The 27846-nt window shown below is 37.2% G+C and overlaps 1 protein-coding gene and 1 long non-coding RNA gene across 2 annotated transcripts in view, besides 1 other annotated feature; one reads left to right on the top strand and one right to left on the bottom strand.

Moving 5' to 3' along the window:
• Window positions 1–19473, bottom strand: part of ADAM7 (ADAM metallopeptidase domain 7) — a 68540-nt gene extending 49067 nt beyond the window's left edge. The window contains exons 1-3 of the mRNA NM_003817.4: window positions 19339–19473; window positions 17923–18026; window positions 13237–13313 (exon numbers count right to left, since the gene is read on the bottom strand). Coding sequence (NP_003808.2) covers window positions 13237–13313; window positions 17923–18026; window positions 19339–19390 — 233 coding nt within the window. The 5' untranslated portion in view covers window positions 19391–19473. The remainder of the gene's footprint in view (window positions 1–13236; window positions 13314–17922; window positions 18027–19338) is intronic.
• The window catches only part of ADAM7-AS1 (ADAM7, ADAMDEC1 and ADAM28 antisense RNA 1), a 252805-nt gene that overhangs the window by 88120 nt on the left and 136839 nt on the right, over window positions 1–27846 (top strand). The window lies entirely within an intron of this gene.
• Window positions 5494–5993: an enhancer, noted in NCBI's record as "H3K4me1 hESC enhancer chr8:24312019-24312518 (GRCh37/hg19 assembly coordinates)". NCBI's record gives its function as "activates a minimal SCP1, AML or CMV promoter by ChIP-STARR-seq in primed H9 embryonic stem cells {active_cell/tissue: H9 hESC(primed)}" and the evidence as "EXISTENCE:reporter gene assay evidence [ECO:0000049][PMID:30033119]".

Below are 27846 nucleotides of genomic sequence, written 5' to 3'. Positions count from 1 at the left end.
AAATAAAGTAAGCCAAAGATCAAAGGAAAAAGGATAGTAACAGAGGAGATAAACATAAAAGAAATAATTCCAACCATGCCAATCATAACATTTAATGTAATGTTAATAGGAACGGTAACATTAACATTAAATGTTAACCTATTAAAAAATAATAACATTAACATTCAATGTTAATGTTAACATTCCTATTAAAAATCAGAGATTATTAGAAGGCATTAAAAATCAGGACCAAACTAATTTCCATCTTACAAAAGATACATCTTAAATGTAAAGACACAGATATGTTGAAAGGAAATGAATAAAAGAATAGTATCTTATTTATATAGTAAACATAAGGCTGGAATAGCTGTGTTAATATCAGATAACAAACTGCAAAATACACAAATGATTGGCCCAAAGATACATTTTAAAAAAATCAAACAAATCCAAACATTGGTAATTAAATAACATGCTCTAAAATAATTCATGACTCAAAGAAGAAATCCCAGAAGAAATCAAATATTTTGAAATGAATGATAATAAAAAAAATCAAGACTTTTGAGATGTATCTAAATGAAGACTTGAGAGAAATGCTATGACTTCAATATTTTAAATACTTAGAAAATATTAAATATTTCTATAACCAGAGAAAAATAAACACTCAATAAGAATAATAAAGAAAATAATACAAACGATAAAAGACATCAGTGAAATAAATAGACAACCAATTACAATTATTCACAAAGCTAAAGAAAAATCAGGTCAGGTATGATGGCTCACTCTTGTAATCCTGACACTTTGGGAGGCCAAGGCAGGAGAATTGCTTGAGGCCTGGAGTTCGAGGCCAGCCTGGGCAACAAGGCGAAAACCCATCTTTACAAAAAGGTTTTTAAAAAACTAGCCAGGCATGGTGGCACATGGCTTCAGTCTCAGATACTCAGGAGGATGAGGTGGGAGGATGCCTAGAGACTGGGAGGTTGAGGCTGCAATAGCCATGATTGCACCACTGCACTCCAGCCTGGGAAATACAGTAGGACTCTGTCTCAAAAACAAAAACAAAAAATAAAAATAAATAAATAAATAAAAGGTCGACAATTGATAGCCCCTTTTAGATTGATCATATAAGAAGAACCCAAATTACCAATAATAGAAATTTAAAAAGAGTTATCACTAAATAAATTATTACATTTTTAAAAATTATAAGATAATATTATGAAACACTTTATGCCAAAAAAGGGGGCAACTTAAGTGAAATAGACATTTTTTTTTGAAAACTGTAATTTAAAACTGATGCATGATAAAATAGAAACTTTGAATAACCCCTTATAAGTAAACTTGAATTGGTTATAAAACCTCTTTCCTACACATACACACAAATATGCTCAAGGCACATGCAGTTTCCTTTGTAAATTCTGTCAAACACTTTGAAAATAACTTTTTTAAGAAAATACAGGAGAGAATATTTCCCAACTCAGAAGCACAACATAATCTATCATCAAAATTTGACAAATCTATTGCAAAAACTAAAAACACAGAATAGCCATCAGTAACATAATTTCAAAAACCCTTAATAAGATATTGGCAAATTAAATAAAATAATTTATTATAAAATAATATATAAGGTATAATGAACAAAAATCAGTGTACACTGCCATATCGACATTTCAATGGATTCAGACAGAATACTTGCAAAAAACTTTTCAAGGAACTTTAATTTGATAAAGTATATCAATGACAAATCTACAGGTACTGTCATATTAATCATTTAATACTGAACACTTTCCCTTTAAGATCAGGAAAAGTGTAAGGCTGCCCTCACTCATTCCAGTAAAATTGTAATGAAGGTCCTAGCCATTGTCATAAAATAAAGTATAAAAATAAAAGAAAGAATAATCAGAGAGGAAGACAAAACTATCAGTATTTTCAGATGACAAGATGGTAAATTTCCTAGAAGATTTCTAAGTACTCTACAAAACAATCAATAAATTCATTTACTAATGCTTCTCAAATCCAAAGCCTAAATAAAATAATCCATTTTGCTTTTATATTGTAGACACAAATCATAGAAAAATGAAATAATAAAGACAATTCAGCTTATATAACCACCAGAAATAGTAAATATAAAGAAATAAATTTAACAAGACAGGTGAGAGCTCCACATTGAAAACTTTAAAAGATGTTGATAAACATTAAAGTAGATGAGTTATAACGTGAATACTCAACACTGCTGAGATGTCAGTTCTCTCCAAACTTATCTATAGAGTCAGTAAGTTAAAATGAAATTCAGTAAAATTGCAGCGGGCCTTTTAATAGAAATTGCCAGGGTGACTCTAAGTTTTATATAGAAATGCAAAGGACCTAGAATAAATAAACAATTCTGATTAGAAGAGTTACACATTGTGCCTTCAAAGTATACTAAAAAGCTGCAGTAATCAAGGCAGTTTGGCCATGGCTTACAGACTGTAAATAGATGAATAAGATAGAATAGAGAGCCAAGAAATAGTCATTTGATTTTGGCCGAAGGTGCCAAAGTAATCCAATAGCACCAGAAAGACAATTCATCAAAATGGACTGGAATAATTGCCTATAAATAGGGAAAAACAAGAATATTGACTTCTCCAGCAAATTACACACACACACACACACACACACACACTCACACACATATGCACATACACAAATTTAAGGTCATAACAGACCAAAACTAAAAGCTAAAACTATGAAGAGCTTAGAAGCAAACATACAATATATTTGTGATTTGCAGTTAGGCAATTTTTCTTAGGTCCTAGAAAATGATGACCATAAAGAAAGAAACTGATAAATTAAAATTTATTTAAAATTATAAATTTTTACTTGTTAAAAGACACAATTTTTAGAAATGAATTAAAAGGTCACAGACAGGAACAAACATAACAAGAACTATATTTGACTAAGGGCTGGTCTCCAAATTATACAGTGGCTCATGCCTGTAATCCTATCACTATGGGAGGCCAAGGCGGGTGGATTGCCTGAGCTTAGGAGTTCAAGACCAGCCTGCCCAACACGGTGAAACCCCATCTCTACTAAAATACAAAAAATTTGCCAGTCATGGTGGTGGATGCCTGCAGTCCCAGCTACTGGGGAGGCTGAGGCACAAGAATCATTTGAGCCCAGGAGGCAGAGGTTGCAGTGAGCCAAGATCGTGCCACTCTACTCCAGCCTAGATGACAGAGTGAGGAAAAAAAAATCTCCTCGAACTCAATAATAACAGGACAAACAATCCAATAAAAATGGGTAAATATTTAAAGATTAAAAAGATATACAAATGATCAAATAAGCACATAAAGTTTTCAACAGGAAACATAACATTTAATAATAGTTAAATATTACAACTAGTATAGCTAAAATTTTTTAAAGTGACAGTATAAAATGATGAGGAATACATACAGCAGGTAGTATTCTCATACATTGCTGGTAGTTACTAAAATTTGACAAACACCTTGGAAAAGAATCTGTCAGATTTCTATAAATCTAAACATATACATATCCTGTGACTCAGGAATATCACTCCTTGGTGTTTACCAAAGAGAAATGAAAACATATGTTTATAAAAAGGCTGTACATGAACACTCATAGAAGCTTTACTAATGATAGCCAAACACTGAAAACAGCCCACATGTCTATCAATAGGAGAGTGGATGAACGAACTGCAGTATATTTATTCAACAGAATACTGCAAGAAAATAAAGAAAGCAAACCTCTGATAAATGCAGCAGCATGAATGAATCTCAATATCAGTATGCTAAATTTTAAAAGTCTTACACAAAAGAGTACATGTAGTGTGATTCTTGTGTTAAAAATTTCCAGAATGGACAAATGTAATCTACGGCAAAAAAAAAAAAAAAAAATTCCCAGGACAGATTTTTAGAGGAGGTGACTCAGGAGAAGCATGAAGAACTTTTCTGAGTGTTAGTTCTGTATTTTTATAGGAGTTTTATAGATATGTGCATTTGCCAGAGCTCAATGGATGGACCCAGCAATTCCACTTGTGGGTGTTTACGTAAAAGATTTGGAATCACTATGTGGGAAAGATGTCTCCTCCCCCATATTCATTGCAACACTATTCACAATAGCCAAATTATGGAATCAACCTAGGCGTCCATCGACAGATGAATAGATAAAGAGAATATGGTAAAGATACACAATGGAATAATGTTCGGCCTTAAAATAGAGGAAAATTCTGTCATTTATGACAACATGTGTGGAATTGGAGAACATTATGCCAAATGAAAAAAGCCAGGCACAGGAAGACAAATACTGCATAATCTCATTTATATGTGGAATCTAGAAAAATTGAACTCATAGAAGCAGAGAATAAAATGGTGGTCACCAGTGACTGGAGCTGTAGGAAAAATGTGGAGATGATGGTCAAAGGGTACAAAGCCCAAGTTACATGGGATGAGTAAGTTAGTTTGAGTTTTACTGGGATCTGTTGCACCGCATGGTGAATTTACTTAATAATAGTGAGAGTAAATAATCTTAGAGAGTAAATTTCAAGTGTTTGCACCACAAAAAAAAAAATAAGTAGTTGAGGTGATAGATATGTTAATTAGCTTGATTTAATTATTACACATTGTATTCATGAATCATAACATCACTTTGGCCCCATAAATATATACAATCATAGTTTGTCAAATTACAATAAGTGAATACATGCATGCATACATACATACATACATAAAATTCAACAAATATGTAGATGGACATTTAAAATTTGTGCATTTCATTTTATGAAAATGTTATACAAAGAAAAAATTCAGTGTAAACCTATATTAGGCTGGGTGCAGTGGTGCATGCCTGTAATCCTAGCACTTTGGGAGGCCAAGGCAGGAGGACTGCTTGAACCTAAGAGTTTCAGACCAGCCTGGATAACAGGGTGAAACACCATCTCTGCAAACAATACAATTAGCTGGGTGTGGTGGCATGTGCCTGTAGTTCCAGCTAGTTGAGAGGCTGAGGTGGGAGGATCACCTGAGCCCAGGAGGTTGAGATCAAGGCTACAGTGAGCCATGACTGTGCCACTGCACTCTAGCCTGGGTGACAGAGTGAGGCTGTGTCTCAAAACAAACAAAAACAAATACTAAACTCTAATGCTAACCTTGTTCATGTATTGAGGGGAAAGTAAACTGATGTCTGTAATATAATTTAAAATGCATAAAAATAACATGGAGGATGAATGGATTGATGGATGAATGGATAGATGAGAAAGATGATATAAAACAGAAATAGTAAAATATTAGTGAATATGTGTAACTTAATGGATCTATGGGTATATGTATATGTTAGCGGGTATATGGATTTTTTTCAATTCTGCTCTGTGTGTTAAAATTTTATCATAGTAAACTTTTTGGGAACATTAACTAGATGCAACAGGTAAATAGAATATAATTATTTTGTGGTTGTTTTGAAATAGCATATATAAAATATATAATAAACTGCTTGGTTGTATAGTAGATTCTAAATTAATATTTCTGGTGACTCATACGCACATACAAATAAAACTCTTCATCTATTAATAGATTTATTATAGCGAACAGAAAATTGACCCAATCAACGTTTCCACAGAATGAATGTACAATCTGATTTAACATTGTTGTCCTAGAAAGATTCATCGCTATTTCTCAACATGAGTTTATAAAATAAGTATTTATTATTATTAAAACCAAGCTGAGGGGGAGGGCAGCCAAGATGGACGAATAGGAACAGCTCCGGTCTACAGCTCCCAGCGTGAGCGATGCAGAAGACGGGTGATTTCTGCATTTCCATCTGAGGTACCGGGTTCATCTCACTAGGGAGTGCCAGACAGTGGGCGCAGGACAGTGGGTGCAGCGCACCGTGCACGAGCAGAAGCAGGGCGAGGCATTGCCTCACCCCGGGAAGCGCAAGGGATCAGGGAGTTCCCTTTCCTAGTCAAAGAAAGGGGTGACAGATGGCACCTGCAAAATCGGGTCACTCCCACCCTAATACTGCACTTTTCCGACGGGCTTAAAAAATGGCGCACCAGGAGATTATATCCCGCACCTGGCTCGGAGGGTCTTACGCCCATGGAGTCTTGCTGATTGCTAGCACAGCAGTCTGAGATCAAACTGCAAGGCGGCAGCGAGGCTGGGGGAGGGGCGCCCGCCATTGCCCAGGCTTGCTTAGGTAAACAAAGCAGCCAGGAAGCTCGAACTGGGTGGAGCCCACCACAGCTCAAGGAGACCGGCCTGCCTCTGTAGGCTCCACCTCTGGGGGCAGGGCACAGACAAACAAAAAGACAGCAGTAACCTCTGCAGACTTAAATGTCCCTGTCTGACAGCTTTAAAGAGAGCAGTGGTTCTCCCAGCATGCAGCTGGAGATCTGAGAATGGGCAGACTGCCTCCTCGAGTGGGTCCCTGACCCCTGACCCCTGAGCAGCCTAACTGGGAGGCACCCCCCAGTAGGGGCAGACTGACATCTCACACAGCCGGGTACTCCTCTGAGACAAAACTTCCAGAGGAATGATCAGACAGCAGCATTCGCGGTTCACAAAAGTCCGCTGTTCTGCAGCCACTGCTGCGGATACCCAGGCAAACAGGTCTGGAGTGGACCTCTAGCAAACACCAACAGACCTGCAGCTGAGGGTCCTGTCTGTTAGAAGGAAAACTAACAAACAGAAAGGACATCCACACCAAAAACCCATCTGTACATCACCATCATCAGAGACCAAAAGTAGATAAAACCACAAAGATGGAGAAAAAACAGAGCAGAAAAACTGGAAACTCTATAAAGGAGAGCGCCTCTCCTCCTCCAAAGGAACGCAGTTCCTCACCAGCAACGGAATAAAGCTGAATGGAGAATGACTTTGACGAGGTGAGAGAAGAAGGCTTCAGACGATCAAACTACTCCGAGCTACAGGAGGAAATTCAAACCAAAGGCAAAGAAGTTAAAAACTTTGAAAAAAATTTAGATGAGTGTACAACTAGAATAACCAATACAGAGAAGTGCTTAAAGGAGCTGATGGAGCTGAAAGCCAAGGCTCGAGAACTACGTGAAGAATGCAGAAGCCTCAGGAGCCGATGTGATCAATTGGAAGAAAGGGTATCAGTGATGGAAGATGAAATGAATGAAATGAAGCGAGAAGGGAAGTTTAGAGAAAAAAGAATAAAAAGAAATGAGCAAAGCCTCCAAGAAATATGGGACTATGTGAAAAGACCAAATCTACGTCTGATTGGTGTACCTGAAACTGATGGGGAGAATGGAACCAAGTTGGAAAACACTCTGCAAGATATTATCCAGGAGAACTTCCCCAATCTAGCAAGGCAGGCCAACATTCAGATTCAGGAAATACAGAGAATGCCACAAAGATACTCCTCGAGAAGAGCAACTCCAACACACATAATTGTCAGATTCACCAAAGTTGAAATGAAGGAAAAAATGTTAAGGGCAGCCAGAGAGAAAGGTCGGGTTACCCTCAAAGGGAAGCCCATCAGACTAACAGCAGATCTCTCGGCAGAAACCCTACAAGCCAGAAGAGAGTGGGGGCCAATATTCAACATTCTTAAAGAAAAGAATTTTCAACCCAGAATTTCATATCCAGCCAAACTAAGCTTCATAAGTGAAGGAGAAATAAAATCCTTTACAGACAAGCAAATGCTGAGAGATTTTGTCACCACCAGGCCTGCCCTACAAGAGCTCCTGAAGGAAGCACGAAACATGGAAAGGAACAACTGGTACCAGCCACTGCAAAATCATGCCAAATTGTAAAGACCATCGAGGCTAGGAAGAAACTGCATCAACTAACCAGCAAAATAACCAGCTAACATCATAATGACAGGATCAAATTCACACATAACAATATTAACTTTAAATGTAAATGGACTAAATGCTCCAATTAAAAGACACAGACTGGCAAATTGGATAAAGAGTCAAGACCCATCAGTGTGCTGTATTCAGGAAACCCATCTCACGTGCAGAGACACACATAGGCTCAAAATAAAAGGATAGAGGAAGATCTACCAAACAAACGGAAAACAAAAAAAGGCAGGGGTTGCAATCCTAGTCTCTGATAAAACAGACTGTAAACCAACAAAGATCAAAAGAGACAAAGAAGGCCATTACATAATGGTAAAGGGATCAATTCAACAAGAAGAGCTAACTATCCTAAATATATATGCACCCAATACAGGAGCACCCAGATTCGTAAAGCAAGTCCTGAGTGACCTGCAAAGAGACTTAGACTCCCACACAATAATAATGGGAGACTTTAACACCCCACTGTCAACATTAGACAGATCAACGAGACAGAAAGTTAACAAGGATACCCAGGAATTGAACTCAGCTCTGCACCAAGTGGACCTAACAGACATCTACAGAACTCTCCACCCCAAATCAACAGAATATACATTTTTTTCAGCACCACACCACACCTATTCCAAAATTGACCACATAGTTGGAAGTAAAGCTCTCCTCAGCAAATGTAAAAGAACAGAAATTGCAACAAACTGTCTCTCAGACCACAGTGCAATCAAACTAGAACTCAGGATTAAGAAACTCACTCAAAACCGCTCAACTACATGGAAACTGAACAACCTGCTCCTGAATGACTACTGGGTACATAATGAAATGAAGGCAGAAATAAAGATGTTCTTTGAAACCAACGAGAACAAAGACACAACATACCAGAATCTCTGGGACGCATTCAAAGCAGTGTGTAGAGGGAAATTTATAGCACTAAATGCCCACAAGAGAAAGCAGGAAAGATCCAAAATTGACACCCTAACATCACAATTAAAAGAACTAGAAAAGCAAGAGCAAACACAGTCAAAAGCTAGCAGAAGGCAAGAAATAACTAAAATCAGAGCAGAACTGAAGGAAATAGAGACACAAAAAACCCTTCAAAAAATTAATGAATCCAGGAGCTGGTTTTTTGAAAGGATCAACAAAATTGTTAGACCACTAGCAAGACTAATAAAGAAGAAACGAGAGAAGAATCAAATAGACGCAATAAAAAATGATAAAGGGGTTATCACCACCGATCCCAAAGAAATACAAACTACCATCAGAGAATACTACAAACACCTCTACGCAAATAAACTAGAAAATCTAGAAGAAATGGGTAAATTCCTTGACACATAACCCTCCCAAGACTAAACCAGGAAGAAGTCAAATCTCTGAATAGACCAATAACAGGCTCTGAAATTGTGGCAATAATCAATAGCTTACCAACCAAAAAGAGTCGAGGACCAGATGGATTCACAGCCGAATTCTACCAGAGGTACAAGGAGGAACTGGTACCATTCCTTCTGAAACTATTCCAATCAATAGAAAAAGAGGGAATCCTCCCTAACTCATTTTATGAGGCCAGCATCATTCTGATACCAAAGCCTGGCAGAGACACAACCAAAAAAGAGAATTTTAGACCAATATCCTTGATGAACATTGATGCAAAAATCCTCAATAAAATGCTGGCAAACCGAATCCAGCAGCACATCAAAAAGCTTATCCACCATGATCAAGTGGGCTTCATCCCTGGGATGCAAGGCTGGTTCAATATACGCAAATCAATAAATGTAATCTAGCATATAAACAGAACCAAAGATGAAAACCACATGATTATCTCAATAGATGCAGAAAAGGCCTCTGACAAAATTCAACAACCCTTCATGCTAAAAACTCTCAATACATTAGGTATTGATGGGATGTATCTCAAAATAATAAGAGCTATCCATGACAAACCCACAGCCAATATCATACTGAATGGGCAAAAACTGGAAGCATTCCCTTTGAAAACTGGCACAAGACAGGGATGCCCTCTCTCACCACTCCTATTCAACATAGTGTTGGAAGTTCTGGCCAGGGCAATTAGGCAGGAGAAGGAAATAAAGGGTATTCAATTAGGAAAGAGGAAGTCAAATTGTCCCTGTTTGCAGACTACACGATTGTATATCTAGAAAACCCCATTGTCTCAGCCCAAAATCTCCTTAAGCTGATAAGCAACTTCAGCAAAGTCTCAGGATACAAAATCAATGTACAAAAATCACAAGCATTCTTATACACCAATAACAGACAAACAGAGAGCCAAATCATGAGTGAACTCCCATTCACAAATGCTTCAAAGAGAATAAAATACCTAGGAATCCAACTTACAAGGGACGTGAAGGACCTCTTCAAGGAGAACTACAAACTATTGCTCAGTGAAATAAAAGAGGATACAAAGAAATGGAAGAACATTCCATGCTCATGGGTAGGAAGAATCAATATCGTGAAAATGGCCATACTGCCCAAGGTAACTTACAGATTCAATGCCATCCCCATCAAGCTACCAATGACTTTCTTCACAGAATTGGAAAAAACTACTTTAAAGTTGATATGGAACCAAAAAAGAGCCCGCATCGCCAAGTCAATCCTAAGCCAAAAGAACAAAGCTGGAGGCATCATGCTACCTGACTTCAAACTACACTACAAGGCTACAGTAACCAAAACAGCATGGTACTCATACCAAAACAGAGATATAGATCAATGGAACAAAACAGAGCCCTCAGAAATAAGGCCACATATCTACAACTATCTGGTCTTTGACAAACCTGAGAAAAACAAGCAATGGGGAAAGGATTCCCTATTTAATAAATGGTGCTGGGAAAACTGGCTAGCCATATGTAGAAAGCTGAAACTGGATCTCTTCTTTACACCTTATACAAAAATTAATTCAGGATGGATTAAAGACTTAAACTTTAGACCTAAAGCCATAAAAACCCTAGAAGAAAACCTAGGCATTACCATTCAGGACATAGGCATGGGCAAGGACTTCATGTCTAAAACACCAAAAGCAATGGCAACAAAAGCCAAAATTGACAAATGGGATCTAATTAAACTAAAGAGCTTCTGCACAGCAAAAGAAACTACTATCAGAGTGAACAGGCAACCTACAAAATGGGAGAAAATTTTCGCAACCTGCATATCTGACAAAGGGCTAATATCCAGAATCTACAATGAACTCAAACAAATTTACAAGAAAAAAACAACCCCATCAAAAAGTGGGCTAAGGCCATGAACAGACACTTCTCAAAAGAAGATATTTATGCAGCCAAAAAACACATGAAAAAATGCTCACCGTCACTGGCCATCAGAGAAATGCAAATCAAAACCACAATGAGCTATCATCTCACACCAGTTAGAATGGCAATCATTAAAAAGTCAGGAAACAACAGGTGCTGGAGAGGATGTGGAGAAACAGGAACACTTTTACATTGTTGGTGGGACTGTAAACTAGTTCAACCATTGTGGAAGTCAGTGTGGCAATTCCTCAGGGATCTGGAACTAGAAATACCATTTGACCGAGCCATCCCATTACTGGGTATATACCCAAAGGACTATAAATCATGCTGCTATAAAGACACAGGCACAAGTATGTTTATTGCGGCTCTATTCACAATAGCAAAGACTTGGAACCAACCCACATGTCCAACAATAATAGACTGGATTAAGAAAATGTGGCACATATACACCATGGAATACTATGCAGCCATAAAAAAGGATGAGTTCATGTTCTTTGTAGGGACATGGATGAAATTGGAAATCATCATTCTCAGTAAACTATCGCAAGAACAAAAATGCAAACACCGCATATTCTCACTCACAGGTGGGAATTGAACAATGAGAACACATGGACACAGGAAGGGGAACATCACACACTGGGGACTGTTGTGGGGTTGGGGGAGGGATAGCATTAGGAGATATACCTAATGCTAAATGACGAGTTAATGGGTGCAGCACACCACCATGGCCCATGTAAACTAACCTGCACATTGTGCACATGTACCCTAAAACTTAAAGTATAATAATAATAATAATAATAATAATAAACAAGCTGAATGAAACTTAGAGGGGAAATGTTGAAAAGTGTGGTCATGGAGAGAAAGACAAATAGAAATCTAAATTAATAAGATCAGTTTCTGTTTGTTACTGTATTACAAAAACATCCAATCACATAATATTCACAGATTTAGAGGCTCTGTGGTATGCACTAAATTCATTTACTTTGTAGAACTGAGGGAATGAGGCAGTGTTGCCTATTACAGATGTTGAAATTAGATTAAACTGCTCTCTGTGTGTACAATTCACTAACATGCCACTACAGGCTGATTAGCAGAATTACGCAGTGGCTAATACAATGAAATTGACTCAGAGGCCTAGGCAGCCTGGGGTAATTGTGAAGGTAACTTGGAACTCTTCAGTCAGACCATCTGCATCATCATGTGCTTATGAGTATTGTGACCCTGGACAAGTTATCTTTTCATTGTACCTATAATTCTTCCTCAGCAAAGTGTAAATTAAACAATATCTGTCTCATATACATTTTTCAGGAATTAAAAAGTAACAGAGATAGAAATCTCTCAATAAATCTTTGCTTCTTTCATGCTGAGAAGGTGAAAATATGCAGAGTCTAAATGTATTATCAATATGGTTATGGGATTATGTTTATTATTCGGCACATTTGTCTGGTGACGGATTCAGAATAGAGGGAGGGTTTGGGATTGTGTGTGTGTGTGTGTGTGTGTGTGTGTGTGTGTGTGTGTGTGTGTTTTGTTATTTACTTTTAGCTAATAGACCAAAGTCTCAATTCCCCAGTAGTGTCACTCTTTCTTTCTGCTTAGCATTTGACAGCTCCTCATCCTTTTAATATCTGGGGCTCTGAGACAGAGCTATTTTGTGTAGAAATGGCCCAGTGGAAAAACAATGAAACTTAAACAGCGGCAACAATAGACATTCTTTTGAAGAAAGCCAATGAAGAAAGTTATAGACATTGCAATTACACTATTTGGTTACACAAGATGTCTTGACGAAGCAAATGCGCTACATTTCTTAGTTTACTCTGCAATGGAACTTGATTTGATATCTAGTTTACACAACTTAGAAGTCATTTTAAAAACCATGTTTTTCACATCTCTTTTGTTCCACTGATTCCCAACACAGTAATGTATCAACCCTGTTCTTAGAGTGACTATATGGAGCTCAAAAAACTGCAAGTATTCAAAGTAGGGAGTTATTTAGGAACGGGAGAACAGTGGCATCTGTGATTGTCTTTAAGCTTTTGAGATGTGATTGGCTTACACATGAAGAGCTTTTATTTGAAGAGGAAAAATTCAGATTACGTGCAAATAAAAATTGAGGAATCCTCTTCACTGGCAGTTTTTACGAAAATTGGCTTACCATAATTACTAAAATCTATAAGGTACTGGAATCACAATAGAACTTACCTGGATCTTAGAAGATGAAGGACTAAGGTTTTTCTATTTAGTTTTATTTCATACAACAATTCTTCTTCATACGTTTTCTAAAAAAGAAGAGGCATCACGTGACTTCAACATGGGCTCATTTAGTGTGTTCTGGAGCAAGTAGTGCTTTGGGTGAATGTTCCCTATCTCCAATCCACCCAGCAGTCCTTTCAGCCAAAATGCAAAATACTGATAAAGATGAATTGAAAGAGAGCTAATATTAGAAGGAAGATTTTACAAACCTCATTCTAGTTATATTTTAGAACTAGATTTCTTCTAGTTATATTAGAATAAAATATAAATATAGTTATTCTTTTATATTATAGTTTATATTATTAGTTATATTACAACTATTTATATTATAACATAGCATGTTATAATATAGTTTAATATAATATAATATAGCATATTATATATAGTTTCTAGTTATACAATTAAATGGAAAATGCAGATTCTCTCCTCATCCAAGGATACACCATTTACCATATGTCCATGTAGCAGCTCTATACACAGATATCCTGTTCACGCATTTTTAAAGCGATTTTTATACATACTGTTTTTTCGTCTACTTTGCACTCAATGATAAATCATGACTATTTCCTATTTTAATAAATTTTTTATAGTATGTGTCTTTAGGCAGCTAAGCACAATGTGAGTGAAACTTCATTTATTTAATCTATATTTACTATGAGAAATTTGGTTTGGGGTATTCCCTGTCGTTGGACAGAGCTGCATTTTCAATGACATGAAAAAAAATGTAAAGCTTTTATAACTATTGCCAAACTATCATGAAGAAAGGAAGTGGTCATGTTTAGAACCTCACCATCAATTTATAGCAGTTTCTGTTTCCTTGCCTTCTTACCAATAATAGATATTATGATTAATACAAATATTTTAAACAATGAAATGATGACTTATTGTGATAAATTGTTTTCCTGGATGATCATTCACATCAATATTTTTCCTTTATTTATTTAGTTATTTGTAGTTTTCATATGGATTCTGATTCATGCCCTTTCACCAGTTTCTTTTGTGGTATTTTATTTCTTCATGCTTCTTAAAAATTCTCTATAATTTAAGATTCACAGTTGTTGGTCATACATGTTGCACATTACTTTGAGATGACTGTTCATTCATTTATTCAATGACTACTATTTCAGGCACAGAGATAATATGGAAAATACAATGGTGTAGACGGTGGAGGTCTCTGCCCTCATGGAAGTCCCTGCTTGGCAGAGAAAAACACTGGATAACCAAGCACACATAGTGGAGTGTAATGAGCATCATAATAGGAGAAATGCAAGGACTGTGCCAGGGATATTACAAGGAGAAGTCAGGGGCAGGGAACAGCACATGCCAAGGCTCTGAGCCAGGAAGGAACATGACACATTTGAAGAACAGACAGAGGTTCAATATTACTGGAAAATCAGGTGTAAGTTGAATAGAAATGAAATGACAAAGTGGGAAGGAGTAAATCATGTTCAACCTAGTAAGTCAAAGATTTGGGCCTTATCCTATGAACAAAGAGAAGCAAAATATCTAGGCAGAAACATGCCATAGCAAGCATGGTGTTTTAGTACTTTACTTCTTGTAGATAATGGATTAGCAAAACTCAGTACTATAGCCAGGAAAACCATTTAAGGCTGTTGATGAATGCAGATGATTTGAGCAGAGGAGTAAGCAGTAGATAACTTTAAAAGACATTTACATGCTAGAATCTACAAGCCTCAGTGATAGTCAGATGGAGTAAGAGAGAGTAGTCAAGACTAAGCCCAGATTTCTGATTTGTTTAACTTGTAGAGCTGTGCTACTATAGCAAGGAGGATCTGAAGAGGGTCAGCTATGAGGTTGGGAAGGAGAGTTTTGTGTTTATTCAATGTTAAGTGTGCATTAGTTAAGGTTGTTTTGACTGCAAGTTGAACAATAAAATTACAGCTTTATCATAAAGACACAGAATCCCCACGTGGGAGGCCAAGAAACTAGGGTGGGTACTTAATCAGATAGAAAGGGTTTGGTCACATTTTGCAACATGATGAGTTGTATGTGTAGAGGTGTGTATGTGTGTGTGTCTGCATGTATGTGTACATGCATGTATGGGTGTAATGGTGGCAATGGAACTTTTTTGGAAATTCAGATATGGATTTTATATTAACAAATATTAGAAGATTTTTAATATTGTCAATATTGTTAATAGGATATTTTAAATTGTGTCATTAATACTGTTTTTAATAACAATTTGGTTTTTAATTTTTATTTTGGAATCATTTTAGATTTACAGAAAAGTTGGAAAGATAGTACAGAGTTTCCATATACTCTGCACTCAGGTTTCCCTGTTTATTAGCATCTGACATTACTATAGTCTATTTGTCACAACGAATAAGCCCAGATTCATAAACTACTATTAATTATAGTTATTCAGGTCTTCTTAGTTTTTCCCTGATGTGCTTTAACTCTTTCAGGATCTGATCCCAGATTCCACACTACGTTTAGTTGTCAGGTCTCCTTAGCCTCCTGAAGTCTCACAGTTTCTCAGGTTTTTTCGTTTTTTTGTGTTTTTTTTTTTACGATCTGGACCTTTATGGGGAGTATCTGTCAAGCATTTTGTAGGGCGTCTTACAATTTGTTTTTGTTCTGATATTTTTCTCATGCTTAGACTGATGTTACAGATTTTGAGGTGAGAGCCATAATAGAAAATGCCATTTTATTACACCCTACTAGCCACAGGACTTAGCAAGTGTTAAACCTGATCACGTGGCTGAGGTGGTGTTTTCATCTTTCTCTCTGTAAAATGACTCTTTCCCCCCTTCAGTATGGTACTTCCTGGAAGGAAGTCACAATCTACAACCCACACTTAATGGGTGGGGATTTAGGTTCCACCCCCTGGAGAGGACAGCATCTACATAAATTATTTGATTCCTCTCCCAGAAGAAGTGTCCATTTTTTCAATTTATTTATTTAATTTATTTATTTATTTATTATATATTATTTATTCAGTCATTTATTTATATCAGTATGGGCTCATGATATTTATTTACACTTCATGTCATAATACAAAGCTGTTATTTATTTTGTTCTTCACATTATCCCAGCTTTGGCCATCGGGAGCTCTTTCTGTTGGCTTCTGAATTCTTTTGACAAGACCCCTTCAATGTGGTTTGAATTTTGTTTTGTCTGTTTGAGCATATTCTGGTATACAAGAAGCTTTAGGTTCATTGTTTATATTCCTTGCCCTTATCCAAGCTTATCTGGTATATTCATAATGATATTTTTATTTTATTTTATTTTATTTTATTTTATTTTATTTTTATTTTTTGAGAGAGTCTTGCTCTGTTGCCCAGGCTGGAGCACAGTGGCATGATCTTGGCTCACTGCAACCTCTGCCTCCTGGGTTCAAGCGATTCACCTCAGCCTCCGGAGTAGCTGGGATTACAGGTGCACACCACCATGCCTGGCTAATTTTTGTATTTTTAGTAGAGATGGGGTTTCACCATGTTGGCCAGGCTGGTCTTGAACTCCTGGCCTCACGTGATCTGCCCTCCTCGGCCTCCCAAAGTGCTGGGGTTACAGGCATGAGCCACTGCACCCAGCCATAATGAGATTTTTAACATCAGTCTTGATTAAGTCTTAGGACAGTAGTCGTGAGAAGACGCCACCAGTGTATGCACAGTGGGTGGTAGAAAGCTGGTGAAAGCCCCCTTAGCTGAGTACCAATCTTCAGCCAAGACAAAGTCTGAGAAAGTGAGAATAGAGTCGCATATTAAAGAGAATCGTTGAACAAAATAGTTACATATTACTTCCAAACGGGAGGAGACGGAGAGTTGCTTTTTATTTTAATCATCTCAAGCCATAGGAAACAGATCTCAGTGGGACTGTTTAGAAAAGTGAAGTGTATCTAATTTATGACTGAGAAACCTAACAAGTGAGAACTTGAAAAACTGGCTGCTCTAATGGTGGACAGAAGAAATTCATTGGGAAGGGTTTGGATTTCCATAGTACGTTTGGGCAACGTGCCTGTCAGTATTCTCTATGAGCCCAATTAAAACCTAAGGCTTAAAAATCAAGTGCCTAATGATAAATACCTAAGGACATTCATCTAATGTCTTTTATAACAGTGGAAATTGAAAACATCTTAATTTTCAAGCCTGTTCCCTCTTACATATATTATCTATTTTCTATAATAAGCATTCGTTACTTTTGAAAGTAATCTTTCAAGTTTTTATTTAATTGTTAATATCTGAATAAATACCCTTCTGAGCAACAGACCAAGCAGGCCTTTGAGTTCCTCTGAAAGTTGCACATCTTTGCTGCAGACTCTATAAACAAAAACCTTGCATACCAGACCTCTGGGAAAGTAACATGCTCAAGATGACATTCACCAGGCACCGGCTCAGAACAAATGAGGTTGTTATAAGTCAGCCTGAAAGCTGTTGGTGGAACTCCATAAACTGGAAAATTTAGAATGGTATTCCCTAAACCCAGGCTTTACTCTTTTCTGTTTTCTAACCCATTGAGGGGTTGCTTATTCCCAAGCACATGGTGTATGCCGAATGGGAGTCCTTAGAAAAATTGAAACTCCTCTCTCCCTATTTGCTTCTGGTTGGAGCTAGAGACAACTGTCTACATGCCTGTGAAAGCAACAAATCTTATTTACTAAATCAAAACTTGTACCAGTATGTCATCATCATGGGTGTGTCCAGTATCTCGCTTCTGTATCAGAGGAAGCTTTTTAGGACGAACCAGTTGTTGACCCTCTACTCCAAGGATGAACTTTTCTACGAGGAAACATAAGAGGAAAAAATCCGTCTGACATTAACATTCGTCTACAGCGGCTGAAAAACAGAATTGTTCTAATACAGTTCATTTGCCCCCAGTTAGCAGCCATGGACAGCAACACTATGAAATGTTATTCCCACTTTACTGGCAAGGAAATTGACACTGATATTTACAAATCAGGAGAATATAAGGAAACTTGGAAAGGAGCCAAAGAAATCAGTGTCCCTCCATTTCCTCCATATTTTCGCCATGTTCTGCAGCTGTAATTTTATTTTTTGTTTCATTTATTTATTTTTTTGAGACAGAGTCTCGCTCTGTCAGCCAGGCTGGAGTGTAGTGGCGTGATCTCGGCTCACTGCAACCTCCGCCTCCCCGGTTCAAGCGATTCTTCCACCTCAGCCTCCCAAGTAGCTGGGATTACAAGTGCACACCACCATGCCTGGCTAATTTTTGTATTTTTAGTAGAGACGGGGTTTCACCATGTTGGCCAGGCTAGTCTCAAACTCCTGACCTCAGGTGATCCACCTGCCTCAGCCTCCCAAAGTGCTGGGATTACAGGCATGAGCCACCATGTCTGGCCTGCAGTTGTCGTTTTGTTATCCTCATGCCAACCTCTGGATTTTGTCTCCTGTCAAAGCCTGCACTGTTGTCCTGTTTGAATGTAAATTACTGAATTTGGTCTTCCAGGGATGTTTGCATTTAAAGTCTTACCTTTCGTAGTTAAGTATAAGACCTTTACCTGTTAAAGAATTTTGGGTAGCCCTGCATCAGTGCCAACCATAATCTTCTATTCATGTCCTATCACCTTGATAGTCATCTGTGAGATGAGCCCTGCTTAATTAAGGTGTGATACTTAAAGAGCAATAAAAAGGAGAGGGCATGGGGTTTCTGGAATATGCTCTGATTTGAATCAAGCCTTTACCAATTTATTGTGTGGCCAGCAGTAGCATATTTAATTTCTCTGATCTGTAAATAGTCTCATTTTCCTTATCTGTAAAGTGGAGATATTAATTTCAAATTTTAAACACTTTAACATACAAAGCAGCTAATGGCCAGCACAGTGCCTGCCATGCTGCAGATATGCAGTACTTGTCCACTCCTTTCTCCTCCTCACTGTGGGTCAGAATGTTCAAGAGTGATATGGCATTACACAGATGCATGGAGTCTCATGATTAGCTGTAATCTAGTCGAAGCTCTCAGAAAAATCATCAACGTTTAATGTTTTTATCACTTACAGTTTAAAGTTTGTGACTAAAGAGACACAACCTCACAGCATAATAAGAAAGTCCTGATAAAAAGAGCAAGACATACCTTTAACCTGAGGAATGAGTAAAATCATCAAGAATATACACCCGGGAAGCATTCTGAGTGATTCTGGTAGAGGAGAGCAGAAGTGCTTGAGAAAAGGAGTTCACCTTTCTTCCTCCTCACTTCCACTGCAGGGATGAAGCACCTCACAGATAGGTGGGCAGTTTTGATCCACAACAAGGAAGTGTTCCTTGAGGGAGTTACACAACTTGCTAGGTGCTTGAGGCTAAAACCTGGAGGTTGAACATCATGTTCTAATTAAAGACAACTACCGAGGTGGTGGTGGTGAAGGTTGGCTGGACATAGATTCCTACGTCATGTCTAATATAAATTTGATTCCAGATATCTGAAAACTTCAAAAGTGGAAAAAAATCAAGAATGTCTTAGGAAAAAAATGTTGAAAAATATTTATATATGCTTTGGTTGAAGATGGTTAAATTCTTTCTATGCAGAGTATGCCATATAAAAACTAAAAGGAACATTTGTTAAATGAGAAATATTGAAAATTTATATGGCATAAATCACATATTAAAATTAAAATATCCAAACTACAGAAATGTATGTAATAAATAAATAAAAGGTGGGAGTAAGTGTCCATATAATATAGAGCCCTTTCAAAGCAATACAAAAAAGAATACCAATGGACAGATGTGCAAAGGGCCTCGACAATTCCATCTGTATGTCTGTGTTCTCTTGTTATGTTAGTAGAGTTATCCCATGGCCAATAGAATCCTTTTATCTTCATTTGGGATTCTATTTCTCACCCGCATCTATATGTCTCTAATATTTCCACAAACTGAACGAATCTATGTCAATTGGAAGCTTCCTTTTGATATTTAGACCCTCTGCTCCAAGGACGACTTTTTCTACAAGGAAACATAAGAGGAAAAATCCATCTGACATTAATATTCATCCATTGTGGTTGAAAAACAGAATTGTCCTCATACAGTTCACTTGCTCCCAGTTAGCAGCCATGTATAGCAGCATTATAAAATATAATCCCCACTTTGCAGGTGGGGAAATTGACACTGATATTTACAAATTGGGAAAACATAAGCAAACTTGGAAAGGAGGCAGAGAAATCGGAGTCCCTTGGCTTAAAACGGGGGTACCATTTTAAGTCAAGTCAAAAGTCTCTCCTTTTTGAAAAATTCTCTCTATTCTATATCTCATATACTCTTACTATCACTTTTTCTCCCATTTCCTTTACAGCTAAATTTCTAACACAGTATTACCTGGACTTCTTGCAATTTTCTTACCTCAAACTTATCCTACCACATCCCAGTTCTAGCATCTGCCTTTATTATTCTACTGAAATGGCCAATATCTCCAGTGATTTTACCATTTCTATATCCAAGAGATATTTTGTTTCCTCATCTCATTTGCCCTTTTAACAATTTTTAGCACTGTTGACCACATCCTTCCCCTTGAAATATACTATTTAGCTCCCTTGCCACAATAGCCTTCTTAACTTCTTCCTGGTTCAGTGGCAACTTGTAGGTATATCCTTTTCTATGTAGCATTTAAATTTTTGAGTTCCTTGAGGTATTTATTAAACACCCTCTTTTCCTCCGATTATGCTTGTTCCAAAGCCATCTCATCTTCAGTTATGGTTTAATTATTGCTATGCTATGCCTCACATTTTATATTTCTAGCCATTTGGGCAACAGATCTTTACAGCAAAGTTTCTACTTAATGTCTTCATTGGGAAGGATCAAAGTCCTTGTAAAATCAATATGTACAAGACTTAAAATACATTTCCCCCCAGTTTGTCCTCTGTCTTGGCCAGCAGTGCCTCATCCCTTTAGCATTGCAATTCTGAAAGTCAGTATCATCAATGACATCCCTTATAATCAGTCCACCACTAAGTTTTTTTTTTTTGCCTCCATTATAGTCCAAGACATTCTTTGGTTACATTGCAACAAGTGTGATTATTTATTTATTTTTTATTTCTGAGATGCAGTGTCGCTCTGTCACCTAGGGTGGAGTGCAGTGGTGCAATCTTGGCTCACTGCAACCTCTGCCTCCTGGGTTTAAGCAATTCTCCTGTCTCAGCTTTCTGAGTAGCTGAGACTACAAGTGTGTGCCACCATGCTGAGCTAATTTTTGTATTTTTAGTAAAGATAGGGTTTCACCATGTTGGCCAGGCTGGTCTCAAACTCCTAACCTCAAGTGATCCACCTGCCTCAGCCTCCCAAAATGCTGGGATTACAGGTGTGAGTCACTGTGCATGACCACAAGTGTAATATTTTTAATAGGTAAACCTGGCCATGTCATGTGCCTGTTAAAAAAAAATGCTTCAATAGTTTTTCACTGGTGTTAGACAAAAGACTCACTTGACTTAAATTGCCTGACACTTATTAACTCTGTGGCTTTGGTTAAGGTATGATACATTTCTGTACTTCTGTTTTCTCATCTATAAAATGGGCATAATAATATAAATCTGATAGGGATGATGTGAAGATTAAATGAATCCGTACTCACAAGCCATCTTTTATTCCCTAGTTAATTCACTCCCCACTTCTCTTAATTATTATATACCCTTTCTTCTTTCCCTAAATCTCGAAATCTCCTCTTCATCACTCTCATCTGACCATCTTGCTTTTCTATTTCACTGGCAAAAAAATAAACCATCATAGGAACTCTCACTTTCTCTCATTATCACATCTACCTTACAATGTGTGCCCATATAGACTCATTCTTTCCTGTTTTTATGCATGCACTGTTCATGCTTCTAGTGTCTATTCCCCAATTAATATGCAGGATTTTATTCCTTCCTGTCCCCTCAATGTCATCACTCCAGCAATTCTTCCCCATCTCTACTATCATCTCTCTCTCTCTCTCTCTCTCTCTCTCTCTATATATATATATATATATATATATATATATAATCATTTTTTCTATCCTTTGAAAAATATTTCTTCTTTTACATCATTCTCCTTTCAAACAGCTACCACCCATTCTTGGATTCTAACAGTAAAATTTCTAAAAAAATAAAAAGTCTACAGTTTGTTTCCAGTTCCTTTCTCCTTATTTGTTCTTGAGATTAGTCCTGTTAGACTTTTTACCCTTTGCTCAACAAGGCGACGTTCAAATGATCTGTACCTTGCTTAATTCAGTGGTCAGTTTTCAGTCCACACTCACTTGATCCTTTAGCAGCATTGGACACAGTGGATTATTTTCATTTTTTGAAAGGAATTGAGTCCCTGGTGCATCATGGATTTCCTCCATGCTTATTCACTGCATCTTCTTAGTCTCCTTTGTTGGTCCTCTTTCTCTCCCCAGTGTGTAAACGCTATAGATTCCCATGGCTTCATTCTTGAGACTTTCCTCTTCTCTGTATACTCATGAGGTGGTTCCCATTCAATCTTTTGATCTTCAATATTATCTATAATATGATGGCTGCCAAATTTATTTATCTAACCTGATCTTTTCTGAATTTCAGACTCATAGAAGCAACTCTCTTTTCAACATCTTCACTTGAAAGACTAATGGATTTCTCAAGCACAAGTACAAAGCCAGATTCTTGCTCTCCCCCTCCAAACCTGGTGTTTCCGTAGTCTTTCCTATCTTAAGATATTGCAACTCCATTCTTTCAGTTGCCCAGGAGTCATCCTTGATTCGTCTCTTTTCTTCACACTTTGCATCCCATTCTTTAGCAAATCCAGTTGTCACTATCCTGAAAAGGCATCAAGGCTCTGACCGTATCTCACCACATTTACTGCTATTTTGCTGATTCTTAGAAAATTTAGACATTATCATCTCTAGCTTAGTTTATTGAAGCTAAACTCTTAATTAGTCTTACTGTTTTTCTCTTGGTCCCTCACAATGTATTATCCACCCATCACCTAGAATGCTCTTATTAACATGCATCACTTTATGTGATTCCTTCTGTCCAAATTTTTCAATAACTTCCATTTTCAGAGTATTAGGCAAAGTTCTGAGAGCCTCCAGGATCTACATGATCTAGCCTGATGTTGTCTGGCTTCATATCTTACTACTCTCCCCCCTCCCTACACTGAGCATATTGCCTAGTGTCCTTGGCATCTATTGAGCATGACAAGCACATTCTGCTTCAAGGGTCTTTGCTCGGTGTTCCTTCTTCCTGGAATGTAACCCTCTCAGTCACACGTCGATGTTTTTCTCTCCTTTCAGGTGTCTATTAAAATACATCATTCTGTGAATCTTCTGTAAGCACCCTATGCAAAATAGACCTGCCCACTCCCACCCTGGCACCTCTAAGCCCTTTTGTGCCTTGTATTAGTCACCATCTAAAATGCTATACATTTACTTGTTTGTTTACTTATTTTTCATAGGCTGACTCCTCTCCTTAAAATGTAGCTCTGTGAGGATAAAAATTGTGTCTGCTTTGTTTACCACCGTATCTTTATTGCCTAGAACAGTAGATTGGCAATAGATTTTTATTGAATGTGTAATGTAATACATTTGCAAACTTCGAAAGATATCTGGTACATAGCAAACACTCAATAAAAGTAAACTATGGGCCTTTTCCTCTTGGAAGTCCCCTCTCTCTCACTAGAGAGAGAGAGCTGTATTCCTTTTTCTTTCTCTTGCCGATTAAACCTCTGCTTCAAAAAAAAGAGCGTAAACTATGATTATTTTAGCTTCTAATGATGAGGAGGTTGTAGAGTACAGTAAATAAAAGTACGCACTAAGTACCACACCATCTGGGTTCAATTCCCAGCACTTACACTTACACTTCCTACCTGTAAACCTTGGACGATATCTGATCTCTCTGTGCTTCAGTTTTTTCATTTCCCAAAATGAGAATAGCAACGTTATCTAACTTGCAGCAATTGTTGTGAGGATTCAGTGAAGTGATTTATGTAAATCACTGAAAAGCAATGCCTCCCATATGTCAATAGATAGATAAGTGTTGATTTTCTAAGAGCTATATAAATGTCGATTTTTGGTATAATTACTTTTATTGATCTAATTGTATCTGCTACTATTTTTTCTCTCTTCTGCTCTCTGAGCTCCAAGTTTTCTGGCGTTCCCCCTTTACTCCAATATGCAATGCTTTCTCCCATTAAAGGACCTCTAGACATACTTTCCTCTTAACCTGTAGTCCTGTCCTCTCCTCCTTGTGGTCAAATTAATTTCTCCATTTACAGTTCTCAGTTCAAGGGTCACTATGTCAAAAAAGTCTTCCCTAACGCCTAAGTCTAGGCCACATTTCTTTGTGAAACAAGATTCTTTTACTTCTGAAAATTTATGTTGGTGTGTCCTACACTTATTACTCTAAATATATGAATATTTGTCTCCTCCAGAAAACCAAAGCTCCATAAAGTAAAAAGTGCAGTTGCTTTGCTTGCTCTAGTACCACAAACCTAACAAGGTCTTGCATATAGACATTGCATTCAATATAAATTTGTTAAATGAATTACTAAATTAATTTGCAAAATATTTTCAGATTAGATCCTTACATATTTTCTTTCCAGAAATTTTGAACCTGTCCTTGAAACAGCTTTAACCCAAATTATCATCTTTACTGGTAGAATTTCTACTACTGTTTCGGGTCAATAGAAGAGATAGTTGAAGTCCAATGGGCCTACTGAGTGTATCTGACCCTTCACCAAACATTCACGCATCAAGTGGAAATTGTCAGCTTTATTCACAGTGACAATTGAAAAGAACATTTTATGTTGGGTGATGGGAAATATGTTGAACTTGCCTCTATTACAGTCAAGATTGTGGAAAATGAAATAAACCAATTTTTAAAATACTAATCATGGAATCTGAGTTATTTATAGTGTCATATTAAAAGATAAGACTTTAAGGCATTTGTCTGATGTCTTTCAGCAACTTACGGTCAAGCCAACTTTCTAGTGAATCTGAAATATTACATATGGCATTATGTATGGTTACCCCAGGTGAAACAACCAAGAACGTTAGGGAAATTCACAGAAAAGTTTTTGTAATTTATTCAAACAACATAATAAGTGGAAAGCAGAGATGAAAAGAAAATTTCTGCCTAGCTCTTTGTTATTTTTATTATACACTGAGGCCTCTCTTTTTTTATGTGGGAGAGGAGAAGCTTTATTCCTTCTCACGATCACTCTATGATATATTTTTTCAATTTGAGGAATATGATCCCTCAATTCTAAACTCTACCAGATCATTAGTACGGGATAGGGGAAAAAATGAAGATTTTATTACTAGCCCATAATGGATTCTCATCTCAGGTCACAGCTTTCCATATTTAAATTAATGATATTATTGAAGTATACAAAGCTTTTTTACAAAAACAATGAACCCTGAAGCATTTCAATATCAAAGGAACTCTGTGGAGTCCAAATGCCAAACAAAAGCAGATTTTAGAGAAGATTAAACAAGTATGAGAATGCGCTGTCCTCTTTTTATTTCTCTGCTGCAAATTAGCAAAGCAATCTCTCATAGCAGGTGCTCCGATAGAGTCCCATCTAGGTTTCCTTGAGTATTGAGGTCGTAGATTCTTGCATTCATTTCTTATTGCCACTGGCATCAGCTCTTTACAAAACAGTCAACCAGGAGTACTTGTCTTGGAGGCCTCACAGCTTTGCACACAGCTGGCCTTTTTCTCCTTTTGATTGCTCTCACAACCCAGATATTCCTTCAGGCTTGCCCTCCTAAGTCTCCTCTCTCTAGTTCCCTCATTCCCACTCCCACTCCCAGCTAGCAACTTGGAGAGCAATCTCATCAACCTTCTTAAGGACTTAAAAGAGTGAACAATAATGGAGGCCTGGGAAGAATGCAGTTGATAAAGAATATATTCTGAGCTGGAAATGAAAAGTTGCCCACTTTGTGGACCCAAAATGCTTACCCTTGTGCCACCTTTGTAAAAAGAAACATGAAGAAAAGCTGCAATACATTCAAGTGAGTGGAGAGACTGAAGAGAATGAATAAAAGTATCTTATTTAAATTATAATTGTAATGGCAAAAAAAGGTTCATATAGAATTACTGGAATAAAAATCAGCATTTTCTATCTGACTTTACAGTAAATATCCTCATAAAGTACTCCAAAGACACATTATTCCAGGAGAATTTGTAATTTTCTTCATAGATTCAGAAGCTCTTTTCAGCTCGGTAATCATGCTTAAGTATTCTGAAAAGAATACCAAATTCTAAATCAGAAGCCCTGTATTCTTCTCTAATTCAGTGAACTTCAGCAAGTCACTTATTTCTGGGGGCCCCTGCACCTTATTTATAAATTGGAATAGTTATGTTTGATCCCCTAGATTGTTTTAACAACAAAATGCTATGTTTCTATCACTATATTGTTCAAATGTTTCCATCTCTTTACTGATCTTTTTCTTCTCTTAGACCTTCTTCATTGTAAGTATAGATTTTAACTTATCATAATAATAAAAAATTGGGGTCATTTTATCACTATCTTATTTTCCATTTCCAACCACAAATTTATCAATTTATATATAGTAAATGTCAAATAATAAATGCAACAAGAGTCAAAAAATTTAACTCAGTCTGCTGCCCAAAGGGTCAACGTTATTCCTAGGGAGTGGCAGGCCCAGGGTAAACAGAGTGTATAACAATTTCACCTCTTAATTATGGTAATCATATTATTTAGCTAGTGACATTGAACAAACTCCTTGGTATTTCCATTAATGATCTTGTTTAATGTACACACTGATCCTAGCATTCTATACAGGATCACTGTGTACATTAAACAAGATAATTAATGAATAGTGCATAACACACGCATAACTCTCAATTTTGTGAAAGGGTTGATGTTTTTCTTACTTTCAATCTGACTGTTTCATAACAGCTTTAAGAATTTTCACTAAGTTCAGTAAGGTCAAAATGGTTTAAATAACACAGGCTTAAAGCCAAGTGGTGACGGGGTATAAAAGTCAGTATAATTAGATTTTTTTTCCCTGTTGAATAAACTAGGCCCAAGGTGATGGCATTCATGCTTCTATTCATAAGTTTCATCTTCTTCCAAAACTGAGTCACAGCTTTGCCTCACTCCTCAATCCTCCAATGGCTCTTCCTTCATCTCTAATAGCTAGTGACTTTGCTTCTAATTTACTGAAAAAAAGAGACAATCAGAAAATCATTTCTACCAACCCCCACTACCACATCTACCCACCTGTCTGTGCTCAGATCCTCTGTCTTACAGTTACTGAGAATGAATGGGCCATGCTTCTATCAAAGGCTGATACATCCAATTCTGCACTAGACTCTCACTCTTCTTCCCTATAAAAGGACATCATGGCGATATGAAAGGAAAATCTTGGGGCCCCAAAATACGAAGCTAAGGGAAAAGTCAAACTGGGAACAGCTCAGGACAAACCTGCCTTCCATTCTATTCAAAGTCATCCCTCTGCTCATTGAGACAGATGCATATTCTGATTGCCTCCTTTGGAAAGGCTTATCAGAAACGCAAAGAATGCAAACATTTTCCTCTTACCTACCTGTGATCTGGAAGTCCCCTCCCTGCTTCGAGTTGTCCCCGCCTTTCTGGATGGAACCAATGTACTTCTTACATA

The sequence above is a fragment of the Homo sapiens genome, chromosome 8, assembly GCF_000001405.40.
Source record: "Homo sapiens chromosome 8, GRCh38.p14 Primary Assembly".
Taxonomy (NCBI): Eukaryota; Metazoa; Chordata; class Mammalia; order Primates; family Hominidae; genus Homo; species Homo sapiens.
The sequence above is the reverse complement of the archived record's forward strand: the minus strand, read 5'-3'. Positions and strand labels throughout refer to the sequence as shown.